The sequence below is a fragment of the Homo sapiens genome, chromosome 13 (assembly GCF_000001405.40).
Source record: "Homo sapiens chromosome 13, GRCh38.p14 Primary Assembly".
NCBI lineage: Eukaryota > Metazoa > Chordata > Mammalia > Primates > Hominidae > Homo > Homo sapiens.
Window position 1 is genome coordinate 79,405,704 of NC_000013.11, and position 23,892 is coordinate 79,429,595.

At 37.8% G+C, this 23,892-nt stretch overlaps 1 protein-coding gene and 2 long non-coding RNA genes across 51 annotated transcripts in view, besides 4 other annotated features; 1 reads left to right on the forward strand and 2 right to left on the reverse strand.

Annotated features, from left to right (window-relative positions):
• RBM26 (RNA binding motif protein 26) overlaps window positions 1-552 on the reverse strand; it is a 94,429-nt gene extending 93,877 nt beyond the window's left edge. For all 49 annotated transcript variants that reach the window (XM_047430536.1, XM_047430535.1, XM_047430521.1 and 46 more), the window contains exon 1: window positions 1-552. In XM_047430536.1, coding sequence (XP_047286492.1) covers window positions 1-71 — 71 coding nt within the window. In that variant the 5' untranslated portion in view covers window positions 72-552.
• Window positions 108-307: a silencer, noted in NCBI's record as "silent region_5426". NCBI's record gives its function as "represses an Ori minimal core promoter by ATAC-STARR-seq in GM12878 lymphoblastoid cells {active_cell/tissue: GM12878}" and the evidence as "EXISTENCE:reporter gene assay evidence [ECO:0000049][PMID:35858748]".
• Window positions 108-1,208: a biological region, named in NCBI's record as "H3K27ac hESC enhancer GRCh37_chr13:79980055-79981046".
• Window positions 217-1,208: an enhancer, noted in NCBI's record as "H3K27ac hESC enhancer chr13:79980055-79981046 (GRCh37/hg19 assembly coordinates)". NCBI's record gives its function as "activates a minimal SCP1, AML or CMV promoter by ChIP-STARR-seq in primed H9 embryonic stem cells {active_cell/tissue: H9 hESC(primed)}" and the evidence as "EXISTENCE:reporter gene assay evidence [ECO:0000049][PMID:30033119]".
• Window positions 538-837: an enhancer, noted in NCBI's record as "active region_7858". NCBI's record gives its function as "activates an Ori minimal core promoter by ATAC-STARR-seq in GM12878 lymphoblastoid cells {active_cell/tissue: GM12878}" and the evidence as "EXISTENCE:reporter gene assay evidence [ECO:0000049][PMID:35858748]".
• On the forward strand, window positions 606-18,633 carry RBM26-AS1 (RBM26 antisense RNA 1). The gene is made up of 7 exons (NR_038991.1): window positions 606-774; window positions 6,979-7,204; window positions 9,559-9,661; window positions 12,132-12,213; window positions 15,057-15,112; window positions 16,284-16,511; window positions 17,024-18,633. It is a non-coding gene; the product is annotated as an RBM26 antisense RNA 1 (long non-coding RNA).
• Window positions 16,900-23,635, reverse strand: LOC105370274 (uncharacterized). The gene is made up of 4 exons (XR_942112.2): window positions 23,413-23,635; window positions 23,277-23,320; window positions 18,027-18,102; window positions 16,900-17,206 (listed from the first exon to the last, which is right to left on the reverse strand). It is a non-coding gene; the product is annotated as an uncharacterized LOC105370274 (long non-coding RNA).
• Window positions 23,636-23,892: the final 257 nt, after the last annotated feature.

Genomic DNA, 23,892 nt, shown 5'->3' on the forward strand with positions numbered 1-23,892 from the left:
ATGGGCTCGAGAGTCTTGCTGAGCCAGGACTTGAGTGCCTCGAAGTTTTCAATGATCATTTTAGAAACCATCCACAGCGGCCCTAAGGCCCGTCACACTCCTCCGCCCGCCCAGGTCGCGGCCGCTACAGCCGCCGCTGCCCCCGCCCCCTCCTCCGCGCGCCGCCCGCGTGGGCCGCGGTGGGAGGCGCCGGTGGCAGGTTCCCGCGGGCCCCGGTCGGCGAACAGCTCTGCAAGGACCGCCGCAGGCCACAAGTGCACGGGGTGCCAGGAGCTCCCCGTCCCCGGCCCCCAGCCCGGGCTGAAACAGCAACGGTTTGCCCGGGCCCTCCCCCTTCCCTCTTCCCCAGCAAATCTACCCAGACCGGAAGCGCGACACGCGCTTAGACCCGAGCCTTCTCTCAGCCTCGGGACCAGGTGCTTGTTGGCTACGTCGAAAAGGCAAAAGTAAAGAAAGCGAAGGCGAAGGGCAGCTCAATGGGAACGATTCAGGGGGTCTTCCCGGCTCCCAGCACCCCCAAGAAGATGGCTGCCGGTAAATCTCGCGAGAATTGATGAAGTCTCGCGGTGGCTCCCGGAGCCTGCTGGGAGAGACGTAAGGTCGGCGGAGAATGCGCGGGTCGAGTGCTGTAGTTCGATTTTTGCGTGTGTGCGTTGCTTGCGGCCTTTGTGCCTTTTTATTCTTTGCTTACCTTTATGATATAAAGACCTTATTTCTTACAAGGAGGAAAAGACCGCTGACTTCAGAAACAGCGGGAACCCCAGCTCGTCCCCGGTAAGACGGCCGTGGCCTGTCAGCTGGAACGGTCCTGCCGGATGGATCGCTCTTTGAGAGCGTACACTCCCGCGTGCGCGACACCAGGCGGCCCGTAGGTTCCAGGTGCCGAGCACACTACCTCCTCAGTTTACCTAAGTGCCCTACCAGTATCATATTCTGTGTATGCTGTGATGTGAACGAGGTTTGTAAACACAGGCTGGTCTAATGGAGCCCAATGAGACCGCCAGAGGATTAGTGTCTTGTCCAACAGTACTTGACTTGCTGGTAGAGCCCTAATGACTGAGGGCTGCCCACAAGGGAAAGGTGAGAGAACCTTCACGTCTCTCAGGTAGTTTCCAGCCTGCACTTTCCCCCAGCTAAAGATAAGTTTTGTTATTTTTAAAATTCTCTTTATTTAGAGCAAATTCAGCCCTATCTCAGATCGGGAAATTATATAGTATCAAAAGAGAGAGTCTTCATATTAGCAACCCAAATAAATAAACTATTTTCCTGGGTGATCAAATAAGTTTGATTCCTGCTTGAGTTCTATTTAGATACTAGGTGGAATTTTACAAAGGGTCTACGTTCCATGAACTGTAATGGAATGAAAATATTCACAATCTAAAGACATTTTCAGTAAGTAGATCAATAAAAGCTCTTTATGAGAGACACCGATAGGCTAAATTGTTCTTAGGAACTCTTGAGTTTATAATTTGCTAGAGTGAAGTGTCTTTAAGGATTAGGTGGAAAGATTATGAACTACAAAGCAAGACATTTGTTTTAAAATACAGCATATAGAGTAGAATACAAATTAGAATCCAGCTACTGAATAACCAGGGTGTTGATTAAAGTGATTTAGCTGAGTGAAATAAACCAGACATGAAAGGACAAATATTATGATTCCACTTACATTAAGTACCTAGAGTAGTCAAAACTCCTAGAGACAGAAGGTGGAATGGTAGCAAGAGCAGGGGTGGAGAGGGTGCCCAGGAGAAGGGGAAATGAGGAGTTATATTTCAGTGGATAATAGAGTTTCAGTTTAGGATGATTTAGATTCTGGAGATGAGTGGTGTTGTGTGGGTTGCACAATATGAATGTACTTAATGCAGTGGACCATATACTTAATGAAAACGGTAGGTTTTATATGTATTTTACAATAAAAATTGTTTATAAATTTAATACTGCCGAAAGTTAAAATTATATTTGTTTAGTCTGTTTGTTGTAGCCTTGCCACAGGCTGACGCCACCAATATTTTCAACCTTATCACCAGCTACTCCATTACTCTGGCTCTCCACTTCAGCCTTCCAAAGCTTCTATCAAATACTGTATACCCCAGATAAACTGATTTGCTCACCCTCCCTTTCTCCAAACATTTGTTCACTTTATTTTCCACAGAGAACGCTTCTACTTCTTTCCCTGACTGCTCAAACTTTGCCCATCCATCTCTCATACCACTGTCACTGTCTTATTTAAAGTCTTTTATTCTTCCTAAATAATAGCAAAAGCCTTTTAATATCTTTGCCTTTTATGCTGACCTCCATCTCAGTTCATCTTCAGTTGCCCTCATCATCATTGCCTTTAATAGCAGTAATTCTAAAATTTTGATCTAATCATGTCACTTTCTTGCTTAAAATCTTCAACTTCCACATTATCTTTAGAATAAAACACATTATTTAACATCCTATAAAGGGACTTTCATAAATCAGACACCTTCCTTTTTGCCTAGAAACTCCTTTCAGTCTTTGCTCCAGCCATCCTAAACTATTTTGAGTTCCTTAAAATAAGTTGTTCCATGAAAAGGCCCTTTATGCAAAGTGCCCCCCAAACATCAAAGGAGAAATCAAATGAACAAAGCAGACAAATCCAGTTTGGTCAGTAAAGAGTGTTTTGTTGGGGGTAACTTACAGACAGAAGCATGGTCTTCAGTGGCAGCAAGACAGGTAGATGTCTGCCCTTTTACTCCCCAGACCAGTACTTACATGCCATAAGGAAAGGGTGTACGTACTCTATAGAGACATTTAAAGGCAACCCTCCAGACAGGCAAGAATGCTATATGCATCATAGCCTGTAATTTGTGTGATAACATCAGGGTTGCTTTGTTGTTAAACTAAGGACAGTAAATAAAGTAATAATCACAGGGCTGGGGTTAATCAGAAGGCAACATGACAAATTAGCATTCAAGAGGGAGTAAACGTTTGTCTCCACAGAAGTGTGTCCTCTCACTAAATTGAGCCATTGCAAAATGTGTTTCTCTACCTTTCATTTGATAGATTCCTACTTAAGCGTCAAAATGCAGTGCATACAGCATCGCCTTTGGAAATCCATCTTTGACCTCCCTTCTGTAAAGCGAGAGTCCCTCTGAGATTTTCTGACATCAGCCTGTGATTGCTTCTTTTATAGCACTCATAGCTTTATTTTTGCAAGTATGTGATTATCTGTTCTTTAGTGGATTATAGCTTTGAATCCCCCGCTTCAAGAACAGCTGCTAATATATACAGCCAATCCTTATTCACGGTGGTTCTGTAAAAAAGCCACAAATGCTGAATTAGTGAATATGGAACCATTGCTCCTAGGAGAAATGCAGGATTAGGTTCCTTCAAGCCTCTTATTAAATGTTTGTCAACCAGCCCATAAATACCTTGTTTTATGTGTGTTTCTTTTTAAAGGCACCTTATGTAGGAAAAAAAAAAATTTTTAAGGCACCTTATTTAATATAGTTGATTCATTAACATTGAACTCACAGCCAGTGGCACTATAACTCATGCTTACCTGGCGTATGTATTTTCTCTTTAAAAAGAAAGAAGAGCCTTCTGGCACTTAGGGACCCAGATAGCCTCATCACTACACTTGGGGGGCATTTTAAACAGTGAAATCACAAAAAGGTCAAAAATGCAACAAATGTGGCCTTAAATAGACCATGAAAAGGACACTTGTTTCCAGTGTGAGAGCTAAAACAGGAAGGCAGAGCATCCCCTTGTTTCACCAAAGCTGGGAACATGTGCATCAGGTGACTCAAATTTTTTTGCCTCTGTTCATGTCGACAGATGACTGCAAAAGCATTCCAAGTATTGATTTGGGCATTGCAAATAAATTTTAGCAAGTAGGCAAACTCACAAATACAGAATCTGTAAGTAATAAGGATTAACTATATTTTTTGAATGACCAAAGGAAGCCGTACCACTTCCATGAAACCTTTCCTGGCCACTGTGGCTGATAGCAGTATCTTCCTCCTCTAAATTTATGGTACAGTGCTTATTATCACTTCACAGTTAGTCATTTTTGCTTCCTAGAATGCTTCTCTTCCTTAACCATTAACATTTATCCTTCATTTATCCCTGCTTCATCTTCTTTGGCCCTGCCTTCAAAGGCGACAATTAGCTGATGTAATCATCAATTCTACTAAGAGAAGACTAAACAGCTGCTGTGGACTACTTTCTCTATTCAGTAACATGTACATTTTGGAATGTCCAGTATCAGGTTGCCTGCTTAACGTTTTCCAATACACCATGTTCTTTCAAGGCCATGTGACTTTATTAGCACTGTTCCTTTTGCCAGAATGATTTTCCTTATTGCTCAAATGTCAGTACCTCAATGATACCCTGGACAAAGGTCTAGCTCCCTACCTGTAGAACAGGAGTTAAAACATTTACTGGGAAGAGATTGTGAGGACAGATAAAAATAAAACATTTTATTTAGTTTTCTCATCTTTCTCGGCCTTGTGAGCTCTTTTAAGGACTGGACTCAAGTTTATTCCTCTTTCTACGTCCTGCACTTAACTCAGTGTCTGAAACTCAAAAAATGTTTATTGAAGACACATGCTTCGTTTTAAATAGGAAGGAAGCAGAGGCAGGAGAAAATATTTTAGATAGGCAAGAGAATGATATGCCCTCTAACAGATCTGTATTTCTTTATGGTTTATTACCATAAGTTGCCTTCATCTTTTAGCTGCACCAATCCCAGGAATATTCTCTATAGTGTGCTGAACTCCTCCTCAGGTTTTTCCAGCTCTCTCCTCTAGTTGAATACAGTCTTACTACTCTCAATAGTGCTTTTGAAGTCTTGTTTAAAAACAGTCAGCATTTCCGGATCAAAAAGAGATTCTGTATTTTCTTCTATTTCTTTTGCAGTCCATTACTCTACTTAGAATCACACTTAAGTATTTATTCTCTCTGTAATACATCCCTGTTTGTGGTGTAAAGTGAGGATCTAGGCCATTTTTTTTTTCTATAAGTCTACTCACTCAGTTTATTCTTTCCTGTTGATTTTTTTCTTTTTTTTTTTTTTTTTTTCCTGGGACAGAGTCTGACACCATCTCCAATGCTGGAGTGCAGTGGCGCAATCTTGGCTCACTGCAACCTCTGCCTCCCAGGTTCAAGCAGTTCTACCTCAGCCTCCCAAGTAGCTGGGACTATAGGTGTGCACCACCATGCCCATCTAATTAGAGAGGGCGTTTCACCATGTTGGCCATGCTATTCTTGAACTCCTGGCCTCAAGTGATCGGCCCGCCTCGGCCTCCTAAAGTGTTGGGATTACAGGCGTGAGCCACCGTGCCTAGCTTCCTTCCTGTTTGATTTTTGATGCCACTTATATCTTTCTGTTTTCATTTCATTTGTGTTCTGCTTCTGACCTATTTTTCAATTGGTCAGCTTGTCTGTGACTACTCCAGTACTATGTTGCTTTTATTTACTATTGTATTATAGAATATCTTAATATATAATAAGGCAAATCCCTCTTCTTTGCTCTTTTTCAAATTTAGCTTGGCTAAATATGAATCTTGGTCTGGCACAGTGGCTCACACCTATAACCCCAGCACTTTGGGAGGCCGAGGCAGGCGGATCACTTGAGGTCAGGAGTTCAAGACCGGCCTGGCCAACATGGTGAAACCCCATCTCTACTAAAAATACAAAAATTAGCCAGGTGTGTTGGCACACACCTGTAGTACCCAGCCCAGAGGCTGAGGTGGGAGAATCGCTTGAACCTGGGAAGTGGAGTTGTCGGTGAGCCGAGATTGAGCCACTGTACTCCAGCCTTGGCGACAGAGTGAAACTACGTCTAAATAAATAAATAAATAAATAAATAAATAAATAAATGTGAACCTTTAGTTTCCAAATACATAGAACAAGATTGTTGAACTTGTAAACAAAAAATTCTTCATCATTGAAGTTATGGATTAATTTGGATTGAATTGACATCCTACAGTGTATAGCAGTCACAGAGGTGTGCAGCTCAGATCTCCCTTCAAGAAAGGACTCACTGCCCAACTGCAAGGAGGATAGTTACCTGACAGCTTCCAGTTGTTAACTCTTTCTAGGTTCACCTCAGCTTTCAAGTTGAAGTTACACTGTTCTCAGGGAAAACCCTCTCCCCCATGCCCATCCGCAGCTCAAGACTGAGCAAGGGATAAGGACCTGCTCGATATTGGGATGGCAGAAGTATTGTCAGACCTGCATGGTAATCTAATGGCTCTCCCACCCAATTCTGCTTCCCCCCTTTCCATTTCACAGGTGCTACTTTCCAGTAAACTTTTTGCACTTTTAACCCCATCTCAGCATCCACTTCCCAGAGAACACCATAACACAAATTTAATCATCTGATTCATTCTATTTTTGTACATTTTAAAAATCGTAGTTAATAATAAAATTATAAGTATTATGAAAGAGGAAACTAAGAACCATTTTAGCAATTTAGACTGTAAAGGCTCAAGCATGGTTTCTCTAAGGATATGATATTTAAATGGTTAAGAAAAGTGAATAATGAGTAAAAGTCGAAACAAGAACATTCCAGCATACATAATAGCTTGTAGGATGTTCCTGAGGTAAAGAAGAGTCAGGATCTTAAGGACAGAGTGGTGGGAGGGTATCAAATTGGGGACATAGGGAATGGCTGTCAGTCAAGTTAGAGGTAAAAAAATTTCATGTTAAGATTTTGGAACTGGATTTTATTTAAAATAATGATGCGAAGCCATTGAAAGGTTTTTGGTGTGACAGGATAAATTTAAAATATGAACACACCAACGCATACTTCTTTTAAGAAAGAACCTGATTAAATTTGGGAATTTTAAAATAAAAACAGGAAGCATATCGTACTCTAATATAATAATTCAAGGGTTTTTATTTTCCTAGAAGATCAAGGTCATGTTAATAAAGGGAATATAGTTTTCTTATCTGTGTTAAGACACTGATGACTTGCAAAGAAAAGTAACACTTTTGTGATATCCTTAGGTAATTCAAGAGGAAACGCTTGAGCAATTACTGATGTTGTAAACTGGGATCAGAAGACATACATGGTATCGTATCCCAGGCAAGGCACAGTGGCTCACACCTGTAATCCCAGCACTTTGGGAGGCTGAAGAAGGCAGATCACTTGAGGTCAGGAGTTCGAGACCAGCCTGGCTTACATGGTGAAACCCATCTCTACTGAACATACAAAAATTAGCTGGACATGATGGTGAGTTCCTGTAATCCCAGCTACTTGGAAGGGAGGCTGAGGCAGGAGAATCACTTGAACCCAGGACGCAGAGGTTGCAGTGAACCGAGATTGCGCCACTGTACTCCAGCCTGAGCAACAGGGCAATAGAGCGAGACTCCATCTCAAAAAAAAAAAAAAAAAAAACCATACTATCATATCCCCCTAAATTGAACCAGAGCACTTCTGGCATAAAAAGCTTTTTTAAGGCCGAGCGCAGTGGCTCACGCCTGTAATCCCAGCACTTTGGGAGGCTGACGGGTGGATTACCTGAGGTCAGGAGTTTGAGACCAGCCTGGCCAACATGGCAAAACCATGTCTCTATTATAATACAAAAATTAGCCAAGCCCAGTGGCACACACCTGTAATCCCAGCTACTTGGAAGGCCGAGGCAGGAGAATCACTTGAACACAGGAGGCGAAGGTTGCAGCAAGCCAAGATCACGCCACTGCACTCCAGCCTGGGAAACAGACTGAGACCCTGTCTCAAAAAAACAAAAAGCTTTTTTTGTTTTTTGTTTTTTATGTGTGTGTGATGGAGTCTCTCTGTGTCACACAGGCTAGAGTGCGGTGGCATAATCTCAGCTCACTACAACCTCTGCCTCCTGGGCTCAAGTGATCCTCTCACCTCAGCCTCCTGAGTAACTGGGACCACAGGCACATGCCACCCACGCCTGGCTAATTTTCTTTTTGTATTTTTGGTAGACGGGGTTTCACCATGTTGCCCAGGCTGATCTCTTGAGCTCAAGTGATCTGCCTGCTTTGGCCTCTCAAAGTGCTGGGATTACAGGCATGAGTCACCACACCTAGCTAAAAAGCTTTGAGAGGCAATCACCAACTCTTCAGTGGGCACTGTTTATACCCATGATTAATTATGACTCCATCTCCATAGGTGCTGTGGAACTGTTTATGGATGTGGTTATGGTGGGTAATAACATTAAAAAGGTATATATACATATATTGCATGTTCATACGCACACACATGCAGACACTCACAAAGTCTCCCATACAAACTGTCAAATGAGGACAGGTAAGTGTCCTCAGAGGAAAAACATGTATGTAATATTATTAAAAATCATATTAGTGATATGATGTGATACTTGTGCTATCAAAATGATTTGAAATGGAATAAGGAGAGAGAGTAGAGTATCAATGAAATAAGATTGGCTATGAGTTGATTGTGGTTGAAACTGGATGATGGGGATGGTTATAATTCTTTCAGCTCTTACATATTGAAATTTTCCATAATAAAAAACCTTTAAAAAAAATCTGTTAAGGCGGAGAGACCCAGAAAACAAAAAGATCTCTGGGAAGGCCTAACAGACTGGCTACAATGGAAGTTCCAGGAAAGCAGAGATTTTGCCTCTTTTCTGCAAATGTATCTCTTGCGCTTAGAGAAGTTGATAGCACATGGCAGGTTCTCTTGTTGAATGAATGAATTGGAGAATAAAACCCGTAACCTAGGTGACAGTCTGTCAGCTCAGAGTCAAGAATCCTTGGGTTCACTCACCTGTCACTACAAATGGCATTTGTTAGTTATTATAAGAATAAATACTTAAAGAAAACCTATTCAAGAGAAAGCAGATTCATAAACTTCCACCATGGATTTCATAAGTAGGTATATACATGCTTATATGCATATGATCCCACCTAGAAAGCTGCTATCATATCATTTCATTTCATTCCTTTTTTTTTCAACAAATATTTATTGTAGAGGTATCTCTGTCTTTCAAGCCAAAAATCAGGGGGAAAAAAATCAGAAAAGAAATCTTATTTGCTTATTAATTGAAGTGTGGGAAGACACAGATAATCTTTTGAAGAAAATTCACCTTTACATATTGTTCTTAGTTCCTTAGTAGCCTTAGGACAAAACTGTTAAAAAGGTAATGATGTAGAACCTTAATTAGGGCTTTTGAAATTTGAAGCCATTTTTATTGGGGGCCAGAACCTAAGCCAGGAAAACAACCAATAACATTGCAATAACAAACATCAGGCATAATGAATGCCCTTAGGAGACACACTCTAAAGTTTTAAAGCTGCACTATCCCATTCCTCCAGACAACAAAGAGAAAAAACAATCTACATCACCCACAAACAATAGTGCATAAGTTAGGAAGAGGCTAGGTTTGGCTGCAGTAATGAACAACAAGGGTTCATTTCTCTCAAACCCTGCATGTCCATTACAGGTTAGCTGCACCTCTACTCCACGTGTTCCTCCCTTCAGGTCCCAGGCTGATGGAGTAGCCTCTGTGTGTTTGGGATGTTGTCAGTCATAATGGTGGACACAAAAGAGATTATGACAAACCGTGTATTGTCTCCTACAATTTCTGCTCACAGAAGTGGACAACATCACTTCTTTCCACATTTCATTGACCAGAGCAAGTCATGTGACCAAGCCTGATTCAAAATAGGCTGGAGCAAGGAGGAGCAGCAAACATAAGTGAGTTTATAATATAATCTACCATACAAGGTAAACCAGAATTTAGGAATGAGCTCAAAGCCTGCATTTCATGTAACTGCCAAAGCTCACACAGGATTTGACCTTCCTTCCCAGAAGAAAGAGTTGACTCCCTTAACAGCATCGGGCTGGACCAATTCCTGGCTGTGGAAGCAGCATCCATCACAAACTGTTTTCATAGCAAATGAATAGTAAACATAGGGGTAGAACAAACTACACTGCCACATACCATAGCCACTAGCAATGTGTAGCTGTTAAGTTCTTGTGGCTATTTAGAATTGTGGTGTGCAGTAAGTATAAAATGTGCATCAGATTTCAAAGCCTTAGAAAAAACGTGAACAATGTTTTTCACTTGTTCCTCAACAACCAGAAAGTAAAATATCTTAATTTTTACATTAATTGCACATTGAAAGAATATTTGGATATATTGGCCTATTAATATACTAAATAAAGTATATTAATAAAATTAATTTCACTTTTCTTTTTTTTGAGACGGAGTCTCGCTCTGTTGCCCAGGCTGGAGTGCAGTGGCGTGATCTCTGCTCACTGCAACATCTGCCTCCCAGGTTCAAGTGATTTCTCCTGTCTCACCCTCCTGAGTAGCTGGGATTACAGGTGCCTGCCACCACACCTATCTAATTTTTTTGTATTTTTAGTAGAGACAGGGTTTCACCATGTTGGCCAGGCTAGTTTTGAACTCTTGTCCTTAAGTGATCTGCCCGCCTTGGCCTCTCAAAGTGCTAGGATTACAGGCATGAGCCACTGTGCCTGGCCCTCACCTTATTATTATTATTTTTTATTTAAAAATGTGGCCCCTAGAAAACTTAAAATTACATATGCAGCTCACATATTTTTATTGGACAGTGCTTTCCTAAAATGTAAGAACTTTTTTCTCTCCTTATGTGAAATAAAGGAAAGAAATAAAGAGCTCAGTGTATTAATAGAGTAACTCTTAGTCCTCTTACTCTGTACTGCTTTGGTATGTTTTAGAATGCTTCTATGAAACTACTGCTGAAAACATCATTGGCGTTTGTTCAGTTTGGGAAGCTCAGGTGTGGTAGGGCCCAGGGAAGGAAGAGTACCTGCAGGGAGACCAGCCAATACTGAGAGCAAAGTGGGGGCTACCACCCTTCCTTTTGTGAATTATTAAGTAAGAATAAACACTTACCAGCAGATGAATTACAGGATAGAGATGAACACTCATCAGTAGTGTGAGGCCCCATAGCTTCTCTGATCTCTCTCACTAGAGAATATTAAGAGGTATACCCATTCTAGTTCAAGAAGGAAGAGCCTTCTACAACTGGCTTACATGAGTAAGGAAAGGCTATAATTAGATTTGTGTGGAGAATGTATGGGGCTGAGGTGGGGGTAGCCAAGAAAGATACAATGGGGAGTGGTAGAAGAAGGAAACAATTAGGAGAATATTGTAATGGTCCATGTGAGATGTTGGAAGTTTGAACTAGAGTGTTAATGGTGTTGATCTTTTCAAAGTTGTTAAAAAAACAACTATTCAGCTCTATCATTTGAAGATCTGCTTTCAGCCACCATTCTTTCCTTTTCTCTTTATAGGCAAGCAAGAGTTGTTTGTACTCATTGTCCCAGGTTCCTCTCTTCCATCACTCCAGTTCAGTATGAACTAGCTTCTGTCTCTATCATTTTACCAAAACACTTCTTGCCAAGGTTATCAGTGACTTGCTTTTCGCTGACACTGACCAAATGTAGTATCCACATTTAGTCTTGTGTTATTTGATCAAATATAACATTTGACAACATTGTTCACATGTTTTTTTCTTGAAACACTTTTTTCCCTGCTATTTTTATTGCATCACAATCTTCTTGGGTTTTTCCCCCTGATTTTTCTGAATACTGTAATGTATCCTTCTTGAACTTCAACCACACTTCATATGGATGTGCCTTGGAATTCCTGTTGGTCTTTTTTCAATCTAAACATGATCCCCAACCCATCTTATCTATTTTTACTATTTCAACTCCTATATCCATGCTGATGTTTCCCAAAGGTCATTACTTGGATGTCTTCTAGGCATCTCAAATCAGTCTCTAAAACTAAACTCATTATCTTCACTAACCAATTTTGCCCCTTTCCTGTGATATGTAACTCATAGAAAGCCACCATCATCCAATTGCTCAAGTCAAAAATCTAAGTATCATCCTTCTCCTTTTACCACTATCCAATTAATATCCCAATGAATATCTATTGAGTCTTCCTCCTAGGCATACCTAGAATCTACTCATTGTCATTCAACCCAGATGATACACTGCAGCCAAAGAAATCCATTAAAGCCCCCTCTAATCATGTAAACCCTTATTGGCTCCCCATATCCCAGGCTAAAGTACAAATTTATTAATTGTAATACTTAATTGAAATTAACTGTGTTTTATGGTATTAAGCACTGTTCTAAATGCTTTACATTTATTTATTCTCACAATTTAGCATTCCCAGTTTACAGCTGAGGAAATTAAGCTTCAAGTTGCCCAAGTTTATAGAATGAGTCAATGGCAGAGGTTGAACTCAGGTCAGTAATCAACACCACATCCTTAACCACATGCTTTCTTACATCTTTCATTAATTGACACCTGCCTAGTTCTTAAGCTTCTCCCATTCTCCACTTTTTACATTCTACAATGGTGCCATACCATGTATCTGCAGTTCCCAGAACAGTACTGCATTATGCAATAGATGAACTGGTATATGCTGAATAAATCATCAACACAGAGGCATGAATATATTTTTAGAGTATTTATTATTTTTTAAATGATGAGAACATTGGAAAAATCAGAAAGACTTCCCTACATGTAGTTTTATAGTTAGCATTATTTTTATTTTGAATTTCAAGTGGGAAAGCACTATAATATTTTGGTGCATAGAGCCTGTAAATTCCTTAATCTATTTCTACAAACAAGCCATGGTGTCCGTCATTGTACTCTTTGCACAAAGAGCCCCTTCGGTTTAGAACATTTACCATGCCCAACCCTATCCTTCATCTAACTCCAGCACTTACCTTAAAAGTCGCTTTCTCCGGGAAACCTTCCCTGACTGGGCTGAGTGTTCACAGTGTTTATCCCTGTTACAATTACATCACGTTGTATTGTTAAAAGATTAGGTTCCTTGAAGGCAAAAGCTTTTTTTACCCACTGTTTTATTCCCCAAATCTAACATAGAATAGATAATACATTTTTCAACAGTCATTTATCACTTTTTTCCTACATTATAATTACCATTTTTGAAATGTTGATTGACACTTGTCTGACTCTCAAGGTGCCATGAAGTGAAACATTAGTCCACAAGAAAGGCTGTTTTTTTTTTAATGGTCTTTCTTTGATATTTGTAAATCTCCCATAGAAAGAGGAAAAGATAAAATGAACTAGTTTTTAAAAAAGTATTAACAGGGTTGTTTTTTTTTTTTTTTTCTGAGGCGGAGTCTCGCTCTGTCGCCCAGGCTGGAGTGCAGTGGCGCCATCTCGGCTCACTGCAAGCTCCGCCTCCTCGGTTCACGCCATTCTGCCTCAGCCTCCTGAGTAGCTGGGACTATAGGCGCCCGCCACCACGACCGGCTAATTTTTTGTATTTTTAGTAGAGACGGGGTTTCACCGTGTTAGCCAGGATGCTCTCGATTTTCTGATCTCGTGATCCGCCCGCCTCGGCCTCCCAAAGTGCTGGGATTACAGGCGTGAGCCACCGCGCCCGGCCCAGGGTTTTTGTTTGTTTTGCATTTTAAGGAGCTAGAAAGGTAGAGGAGGCTAAACGCCATCTACATCTCAGGGTTTTTGTTTGTTTTGCATTTTAAGGAGCTAGAAAGGTAGAGGAGGCTAAACGCCATCTACATCTCAGGGTTTTTGTTTGTTTTGCATTTTAAGGAGCTAGAAAGGTAGAGGAGGCTAAAAGCCATCTCTACTCATATTTCCAAACACCTGGTATTACAGTAATGTCCTCTCTCACAGTTTGTTCACACTTCCCATATTCAGGGCTTTGAGTAGTGTCCTCCCACACTGATTCTGGATTTGTCCAAGTGATTTACTTTGCTAGTGAGATTAAGGTAAATATGATGAGATAAAAATAAATGTGATGCAAGAAACAACTTGAAAAGTGCTTGAATGCTGAGGCTGCCATGTGATGAGGTCCCAGTAAGATCCAGCCTGACAACCACCAGGCATGTGAGTGAGACCATCCTAAACCAACCAACTTGCACAGCTAGTGCAAACCAAAAGAACTCCCCAGCAACTCACAGAATGGTGACAAGTAATAAATGTTTTTAAGCCGCTAAGCCTGGGGTAGTGAACATTGATACAATGCCTAACACACACTGAGGCTCATGACCTCTATTGACATATATTTTTCTTATAACATAGCTTGTAGTTCCATTCATTCAACCAATATCCGTAGTCGATTTACTTATATAAGAAGAAATTCTTTTTTTAAAAATGAAATTAAAGTAACTCATTGCATCAAAGGAAATGCTGAATAGGCTTCCAAGGCACCAGCAACCATAAAATCTCTAGGAATCAGAGCTGCCAAAACTTGTTCAGTCATGGACTTTTTCTATAGAATGCTCCTGCATTCAGCTTACTCAGTAACAATCACCCACCCTGGGTGTTGAGATACAAATTATCAAAATAGAGAATCTAATTGACTTTGCTTAAGTGTATGCCTATCACTGAGTAAGGAAGAGGGATTTATTACAAATAGAAGTTGGGAGATCACTTGGCATGCTAAAAGTTGTGACTCTAATAAAGATAATACTTTAACAAGAACTAGATTCTAATTCTTTTTCTTCAATAAACTAATAACTTTTTGCATGTAATTTTCCAGAAGGTAGATATTAATTTATGAGATGGAGAGCTGTATGTTTGAAAGACAAATTCAAATCACAAACAAACATACAAGTACACAAAACATCAAAACAAACCTAGTGCAAATTATCATTATATAAGACTTTCTGGAGGCTGAAAAACAATAATGATCTTATAAGGTCTTATAAGGTCTTGTAAGGTCTTGTAATGATCTTGTAAGGTCTTATAAGATCTTATAAGGGTTTTTCCATCAATTTCAGATTCTTTAGATTCACACCGTGTTCTATTTCCTCTTGAGTTTCCCTAACCCCTACAGCCTCTACTCCCTTCTCCTTCTTGTGACCTCTTCTAATACTTAACTGACCAGCTACTTCTTTATATGAATTTTTTTTGCCAAGTAAGTTTTAATCTGTTTCAGATAAGAATTCAGTTTTTATTTTTTTGTATCCTTTTATACAAAAAAATATGATTTTTTATACGATTAGTATTTTATTCAATAACTGTTTAAAAGTATAGAAACTGAATAGGAATTTAAGAATAACCTAATTCAGTATCTTCATATTTACAGATGACAAAATTGGGGTCTGGACGTGTGCAAGGACTTTTCCAAAGTCAGCTGGAAAGGTAATAGAAGACACAAGTTACCTGCTGTAAGATCCAGGGCCGGATTCAATTCAGGCTTTGTTAATTGACAGAATGTGATAGCTATTTAATTCAGGCTTTGTTAATTGACAGTGCAATAGCTATTTAATTAAAAGTAGACTGAAATAAAATGCTAAAATAAAAAAGCTAACCACAAAATAGCGATATTAAATCACATTATTATTTATGCATTAGTTCATTTCCTCAATATTTGGACTACAAATATATGAATATATCAACAAAAAATTTAAAATGGAATGTCTCTAATAAAGGATACAAATAATAGATACAAACGGCCTTGGACATTTTGGTAATTATGATTTGATAGGTATGAGACCAAAATGCACAAGGCTGTTGGTCCTCCTCCTTTTTTAAGTATATTTTGCCATTAATTTAAAGTTAGGAGAAAGTTTTAAAAGGTTTATAGATGGCCCAAAGGCATGAATACGAGAAATGTTGGCCTTTGTTTGTGCTTTTTCATGAAAAATACTTAAACCGAAAAGGAAAGAAATTATTACATGAGATTTGTTGTTCTTTCATTTTCTCAAATAATGGATGTCTTTAAAACATTTTCACCTAATTTTAGTGACTTTGTTTTTTTTTTTTTGGCAATAATATAAGATTACTGTCTCGTGTGTGTGTGTGTGTGTGTGTGTATATAAAATACAGAAGATTCTTGAAAAATGGCAACTTAGCCATAACTCCCTTTCCCTCTCTTCCATCTCTAAGACATTTGCCTCCCTTGAGCCAAATCCTTGCCAAGGCCTATAGGAAGGTAGGAGAAGGTGGGACCTTGACCTGTGTTGGGGACTCTGCTATGGGAAGTAGGTTCACGACTTGCTCCCCCGTGGACTAAGCAAACAAATGAAGAACAGTGGTATTGGTGGCTTCTGAACTTCTTAATCCTGAATAGTTTGGTTTTCACAGATCTCTGGGAAGACACCCTCCCTTCAACAAAGTTGGTATAGCACCATATGAGAGAGTCTTAGATTTCATTGACTCCCAAAAGTCCAAGAAGTTTAATGGGGATAATGAGTCTTCCCTGCTTATATTAGTTATCTGTTGCCATCTAATGAATTACTCCAAACCTTAGGGGCTTACTTAAAGCAACAAACGTTCATTACATCACAGTTTCTGTGTGTTATGATTGCAGGAGCTGCTTAGCTGAGAGGTTCTGGCTCCAGAGTCTCCTGTGAAGTTGCAGTCAAGATGTCTGCTGGGACCCCAGTCATTTGAAGCCCTGTCTGGGGCAGGAGAATCTAGGTCCAAAATGGCCGTTGCAGGAGTCCTTATCCACACCATGTGGGACCTCTTCATAGATGTTCGAGTGTCCTCATGGCATGGCCACTGGCTTTCCCCAAAGTAAGCAGTCCAAAAGAGGGTAAGACAGAGCCCACACTGTCTTTTATGAATTAGCCTTAGAAGTCTAACACGGTTACTTCCACCACATTCATTAGTCGTTAGGTACAGCTCACATTCATGGGGAGGAAAATCAGGGCCTGTCTTTAGATAGGAGATGTATCAAAGAATTTGTGGACATATTTTAAAATCACAGCACTACTCTTGATGTACTAAGTCAGTGACTCCCCCAGGAGTCTCACAGAGAATTGACTCCTTGCCCACCTATACTACCTTTGTGGGTAGAGACTCCAGTAGTGTGCTGGTTAATGTTCAACCAGTGGCTTTCTAGAAAACAAAATGTATGGATACATATATATGTTCTAAGTTTTACTGATATGAAGAATGTGTAGCACAGAATTTATAAATAATAAAATATACAGTATTATTTATTGTAAATTCCATAAAACCTGTTGTTTTTCACAAAAGGTTTTAGTTTATTTTTCCCAAATGCTTGTATTGGTAACATTTTCTGTATTACCTTTTTATGTCCAGACAATCAACAAAACTGAAAAAGCCCAGCCTTGTAGCATTTGCCAGTTATTGTGTAAATGTCCCCACTATGGTGGATTTCAGGTTACCACTATGATATCACAGAATGCAGAATTGGAAGGAGATTCACAGCAGCACCCCATTATACTATATTTTCACCATACAGATGCAGTCGATGTAAATTACCTGAGGAGCATAAATAATAATAAAATGAAGTTAAATAATTCGGAAATGATTTTGAAAATTGTGTTGGTTTTTAATGTAAGTTTATATGTCAGCTTTAATAAAATCTGTCTTTAACAACTAGCTTGAAGAATTCTTGAAAAATTAATAATCAGCTCTCATAGGCTAGTGACAACTGGCTTCAGTGCACCCCTGACTAGAAACACCTTTGCTTTCCACCACATGTGGAATTCCCAGTATTTCAACAATCAGAATTGAGCTTATGAGCCAACCAAGAAAAATAACATCTTATATAAGAGACAGCAATTTGAGAGAGGAATATCAGTCAGAAGAAACAAGGGGAAAGTCGAACTTGTAAAAGAGAGATGAAAATTTGAATTTTTTTAAAGGCATCCTTAAGCATATTTAAGTACAACACAAAAAGTTAAAGAATTTAGTAGATAAATAGAAAGATGAGATGATTACCACTGAGACACAGATCAATGATCTGGAAGATAAAAACAAATCATAAAAATAAAAGTATCTTGAAATTTTGCAAAGTACATCATAAATCAATGCATCAGAGATTATGTGTCATGACAAAAAAATTTATACTCAGAATGATATGTCACTGCTTACTATGCAAATATTTTCTATTTCTCCTAGCTTCAAACTATGCATATGGGCCAGGCGCGGTAGCTCATGCCTGTAATCCCAACACTTTGGAAGGTCAAGGTGGGCAGATCATTTGAGGCCAGGAGTTTGAGACCAGCCTGGCCAACATGGTGAAACTCCGTCTCTACTAAAAAATACAAAATAATTAGCTGGGTGTCGTGGAGCATACCTGTAATCCCAGCTGCTCCGGAGGCTGAGGCACGAGAATCGTCTGAACCCAGGTGATTCTGCACTCTACTTGGGCTCTGTCTCAAAACAACAACAACAGCAACAACAAAAACTGTGGTATTTTTAATGAACTAAATATTAATCTGCTAACACAGCATAGGTTTTATGATTACTGCAATTCAAAAGTCATAATAAATTTTAAAACAAATCCTCCTGTACCTGTTGTGGTGCATGCAGAAACTTTTCCTGTTCAACACACTTATATGGCACTATATAGGGATATACCAAATAGCTCAGGTACATAGTGAATACAACTTTAACACTTATATTGAAATGCTAATCTTACTTGCCAATATTAGTGGCACATTAGCATAATTTAACTTTTATAAAATTATGGAAAACAGTTTAAAATTATTCTCCCTAATATTAGCAAATTGCATTAATGGCATGTACCGTGTGCCAGTTTGTTTCCAAATAAACAAAATGTACCTTGATATGCCACTTCAGAGCCAGCAGAGGGAGCTCATACTTTTTTATTGTTTTCAACTTACTGAAGAAAATTTGCTTTTAAAAGCTACTGTGTTATAACCAATGAGAACCAAGAAAAAGGAAAAAAAAAAAAAAGCTACTGGATTCTGAAAAATAATGTAGTTGTTATTTAAATAATAAAAATGTATTAGTAAACAAAAAAGTCATACTTTAGGTTGAAATAATAAATCAATTCTAAATAAAAAGATATTAATGATATTTTATGTAAAAATGTCAATTAAAACTACATAATTTCAAGGTTTTTTTTTTCTTTTTCTTTTATTATAATTTTTTTAGAGACAAGAGTGTCGCTCTGTCACCCAGGCTGGAGTGCAGTGATGTGATCATAGCTCACTGCAACCTCAAACTCCTGGGGTAAAGCAATCCTCCTGCCTTAGCTTTCTAAGCAGCTAGGACTACAGATGCATTCCACTATGCCTGGCTAATTTTAAAATTTTTTTGTAGAGACAGGGTCTTGCTATGTTGCCCAGACTAGTCTCAAACTCCTGGCTTCAAACAATCCTCCCACCTCAGTCTCCTGAGTTGGGGTTACATGTGTGAGCCACTGCACTCATCTGCACTCAGCTATTCAATTTATTTTTCTAATAGCCTTTACTAAAAAAAAGAAATGTTTGTAACAGAGATTTCTGGGGTAAACTAAAATGGAAACCTTCCAGCTACAAGCATAAAACGTAACAGATAAAAAATGACAAATATGACACACTTCAAATTTAATTCTTACACATGAAATTAAACACATAATTTAAATACATTCCCATTCACTCAATTCTCAGCCCTTCCAAAGACACAGATAAATGCCATTATTAGTTTCTTCTTCTTTTTTTTTTTCTTTTTTTATTTTTTGAGACAGAGTTTTGCTCTTGTTGCTCAAGCTGGAGTGTAATGGTGCAATTTAGGCTTACTGCAGCCTCCATCTCCTGGTTCAAGTGATTCTCCTGCCTCAGCCTCCCGAGTAGCTGGGATAACAGGTGTGCATCACCATGCCCAGCTAATTTTTTGTATTTTTAGTAGAAATGGGGTTTCACCATGTTAGCCAGGCTGGTCTCAAACTCCTGACCTCAAGTGATCCACCCGCCTTGGCCTCCCAAAGTGCTGGGATTACAGGCGTGAGCCACCACATCCGGCCCATTATTGGTTTCTTATGTATCCTTTCAGAATTTCTTTATGAATATACAGACATATATGAACATAAAATCTTATTCTAATCGAATTTTTCTTATGCAAAAACAGCATATCATATACACTATTCTGTATCCTGCTCTTTTTACTAATATATATTGGAAACATTCGCGTAAGTCTATAGTAGAGACCTTACTCCTTTTTTTTAGGCATGTGTAGTGTATAGCAGACAGATTGTAAGAATATATAATAATTGATCTATTCCCACTTAATAAATTTTTTTAGTTGTTTCCATTTTCAATTACAGAAAATTCTCCAATAATGAACTTGTATATATTTGCCATTTTCTACATGTGAAGTCTATGTGTCTGAAGGATAAAGTCCCAAAAGTGGGATTGCTAGGTAAAAGGACATAAGCATTTGTAATAATGATGGATATTGCCAAATTACTTACTATGAAAATTATAGCTACTTATACTCCCTCAGGAGCAATATGTCTATTTCCTCACGATATTGCCAACTGAGTCTTATCTAACTTTTGATGTTTGCCAGTCTGATAGATGAAAAATGTGTCCTCTAAGTATAATGTACTATTCTTATTATGAGTGAGTTGAACATCTTTTGAATATGTCAAAGCCATTTGTATTTCCTTTCTGTTAACTTTCTGCTCATAGTTTCTGCTCACTTTTGGGATCCTTTCCTTGTTAATTTGTAGAAGGCCTTTATTGAGTAGGGAGATTAGCCCTTTGTGATATGTGTTGCCACTTTGTTAAGTCATTTGTCTTATGTTTTTTATTTGACATGCAGAAGTTTTCATATATACGTAGCCAAATTTATCAATTTTGTTTAATGCCTTTTAGATTTGGGGTCATAGAAAAGCCATCCCCACCCCCATATTATAAAGAACTCTCCCATGTTTTCTTCTAGTATTTTCTTGTTTTATTAAATTTTCATTGAAATATTTAGATTTGGACTTTATTCACAAATAAAGTACAGTGTGAGTTAAGGATCCAATTCTGTTTTTCCAAATGGTTACCAAAATGTTCCAGTACCACCTATGTCAAATAGTAAGTTTTCTTATGCTTCTGATTCTATTTCTGTAGTTTTTACTGTAATCATTGGTGCTTATATAATTTGTTTTATTGCTCTGTAATTCTGGGCCTTCTTCATTGCTCTTCCTTTTCAGAGCTTTCCTGGCTATTTGGCTGTTTATTTTTCCATATAAGTTTTAGGATCACACTGTGTACTGAAAACAAAGTTGATATTTGTTACTTGCTTTTTATTAGTATTTTAAATAAAATTTGTAAAAGTGTATATATATATAAAATACTAATTCTTTTCGATTTTTAAATGTCTTTCAGAGGCAATTTACAGTTGTTTATATACATATATTGCATTCTTTTTAGTTTTATCTTTTTTGTTGCTATTATAAATTGGATTTTTAAAATTACATATTATATTGTAATATGTATATAAGAAAGCTCTTTATTTTCTACCTCACTACCCTACTGAATTTTTCTATTCTTATCTTGGATTTTCTATGTACTAATAGTAATACTAATAGTCATAGTTTTAAATTCTTTCCAATTTTGTACCTCAAATTTATTTCTCTTGTATTATTTATTTTTTCAGTAGCTAGAGTACAATAATAATTATAGCGATGAGAGTTGGCAGACTTGTCTTGTCCCTGGCTTTAATGAGAAATGATTGTAAAGTTTGATCATAATTATGATGCTAACTTTTGGTCAGGGATAAGTATAATTTTCATTTTAAGGAAATATCAATGGATTTATATTTCATTAAAATTTTTTAAATAATAAGTAGTTGTTGAATTTTGTCAAATGCCTGTTCACCATCTGTGGAAGTCATTATATGATTCAGGATTATATGATTTTTCATTGTATATGTATTAATATTATATGTACTAATAAAGATCTGTGAAAGTTGTCAGAATCAAAATGGGAGTTATTTGTGTTAAAACCCTGACAAATGGAGTCAGGGAAGGCCATGAAGGGAGAGTTGTCATGCATGAATGCCTGACAACAAGAACTATCACAAAAGACTGCAAAAACCACAACCTTGCACAAAGGGCATTGCAATCTTACACACAAAAAAATACTTCTGTGAGGTTGTCTGCCCAGCAGCTGCCTGTCCAATCTCAGACTGGTGTCACTCTTGTTATCGATCCTTGTAGCCAAGGATAATTATCTCAAAACAATTATTTAATCCTCCTCATTTTTCCTTTAATAAAAAACCTTTTTCTTTTTTTAACTCCTTGAATACGCACATAGTTTACTGTGGCACATGTATTCCCATTGCAATATCCATTCTCGAATAAATAGCATTTTTTTAAGGAGAGCCTCTCTCTATGTTATTTAGGTTGACAACTCTAATATTGAAGCTTTCTTGCATTATTGGAATAAATCCCAAATGGCGATAGTTTTTTTTTTATTGCCATGCTGGGTTCTTTTTTATATCATTTGTTTAATATTTTGTACCGATATTCATATAGATAACTATACAGGTTTCTGTGCATTTTTTTTCAGATAGTGAATCAGTATTTACTCACTTTATAAAAATGAACTCAGTAGTTTTTTTTTTTCTTGCTCTGGAACATTTTAAAACAGCACTGGAATTATATGATCTTAAAAAGTTTAGTTAAATTCCCCTAGAGCTGTCTGGATCTGGGCCTTTTGAAGAGTTAGGTCTTTACTTCCTCTATTCTCCTATGGTAGTTGATCTCTTTAAAAGTTTTCTGTCTTCAGAGTTCAGCTTTCATAAGCAACTTTCCTAGAAAATTATACTTTTTTTTTCGGGTGTTCTAACATTTTGGTGTAGTTTTAAGCAAACTAGTCTCATGATTCTAAGTTCTTCTGTTTCTTACTTATTTTCCTCTTTATTTTATATTCTTTTTTTCTTGATTATCTTAGCTAGTTTACTTAACCGATTTTTCAAATTATTCTATAATTGTATTCTTCGGCTCTACTTTTTCTTTTAGCTTTCTAACTCACCAATTTTTGTTTTTATCTGTGTTAATTCCTTTCTTCTGCTTTCCTTTGCTTATTTTGTAATTCCTTGTCAATCCTTTGAGTAAAATGCTTGATTTACTTATTTTCATTTTTATTTCTATAACCATTAATGCTAGACATTTTTGTTCTCAGAATTGATGGGAAAATTGTTTTAAAATCCTAGTTAAGCTTGCAACAAAGTACTATCCCACTAGTAACAGAAATGAAAAAGAAAATTCAAATCAGAGTCATAAGGGCATGAGCTGAGGCTTCTGGCAGCCATGGTAGAAAGGAGGGAATATCTCATAAATCGAAACCTCAAGCCTTTACTTATGTAGGTTTTTAGTCTTTATTTATATTATCTGTGTATGTGTGTTATGAAAACTCATTCCAAAAAACTGGACTAAAACTAGGTTGGTGATATATCTGGCCTGGATACTTCCAACACTTCAAAATCAGGACACAATGGAATTCCAACAGAGAGAATGTGATCCAACCAGGATCACCTCCTAGTTTAAAAAATTACCTTGCTATAAATACAATAGACATTTAAAACAGCATAAAAAGAATCTTACCTCATGCCAAGATATTCAAAAATTTAGGTGAAAAGGACAATTTCCTAGAAAAAATAAGGAAAAATTAGAATTCTGAATAGAACTAGAACTGACTAAAAGATTGAATCCATAATTAGAAATCTATCCACCAACTTACTCTCTGTGACACAAATGCAATGTATCCAATATCCACTTTACCCTCGATAAAATACCATCCTTCCATGGTAATGGAATGTTTAGCTGAGCACATTACACTTAATAAGTGTGACAAAAGAGTGAATAAGGCACTATGATATGTAGAAGTGTTATGATTATAGTTTTGTTGTCATTAACATGAGTTCCTTATTTGTTTATATTATGTCTTGATAAAATTTACATATAGTGACATGCACATTTCTTAAGTGTACTATTCCATGAGTTTGAACAAATGACTAACCTGAGACAGAAAATACAAAAAAATACCATCACCACAAAAGTTGCCTCATGTTCCCTTCACAGTGAATGCCCACCCCTCCACCCATAGACAACCACTGTTCTAAAATAGAATCTGTAAATAGAATCATACAGTATGTACTGTTTTGCATAAGCTTTCTTTCACTCAGCATTGTTTTAGAGATTCATCCATGTTGTATATATC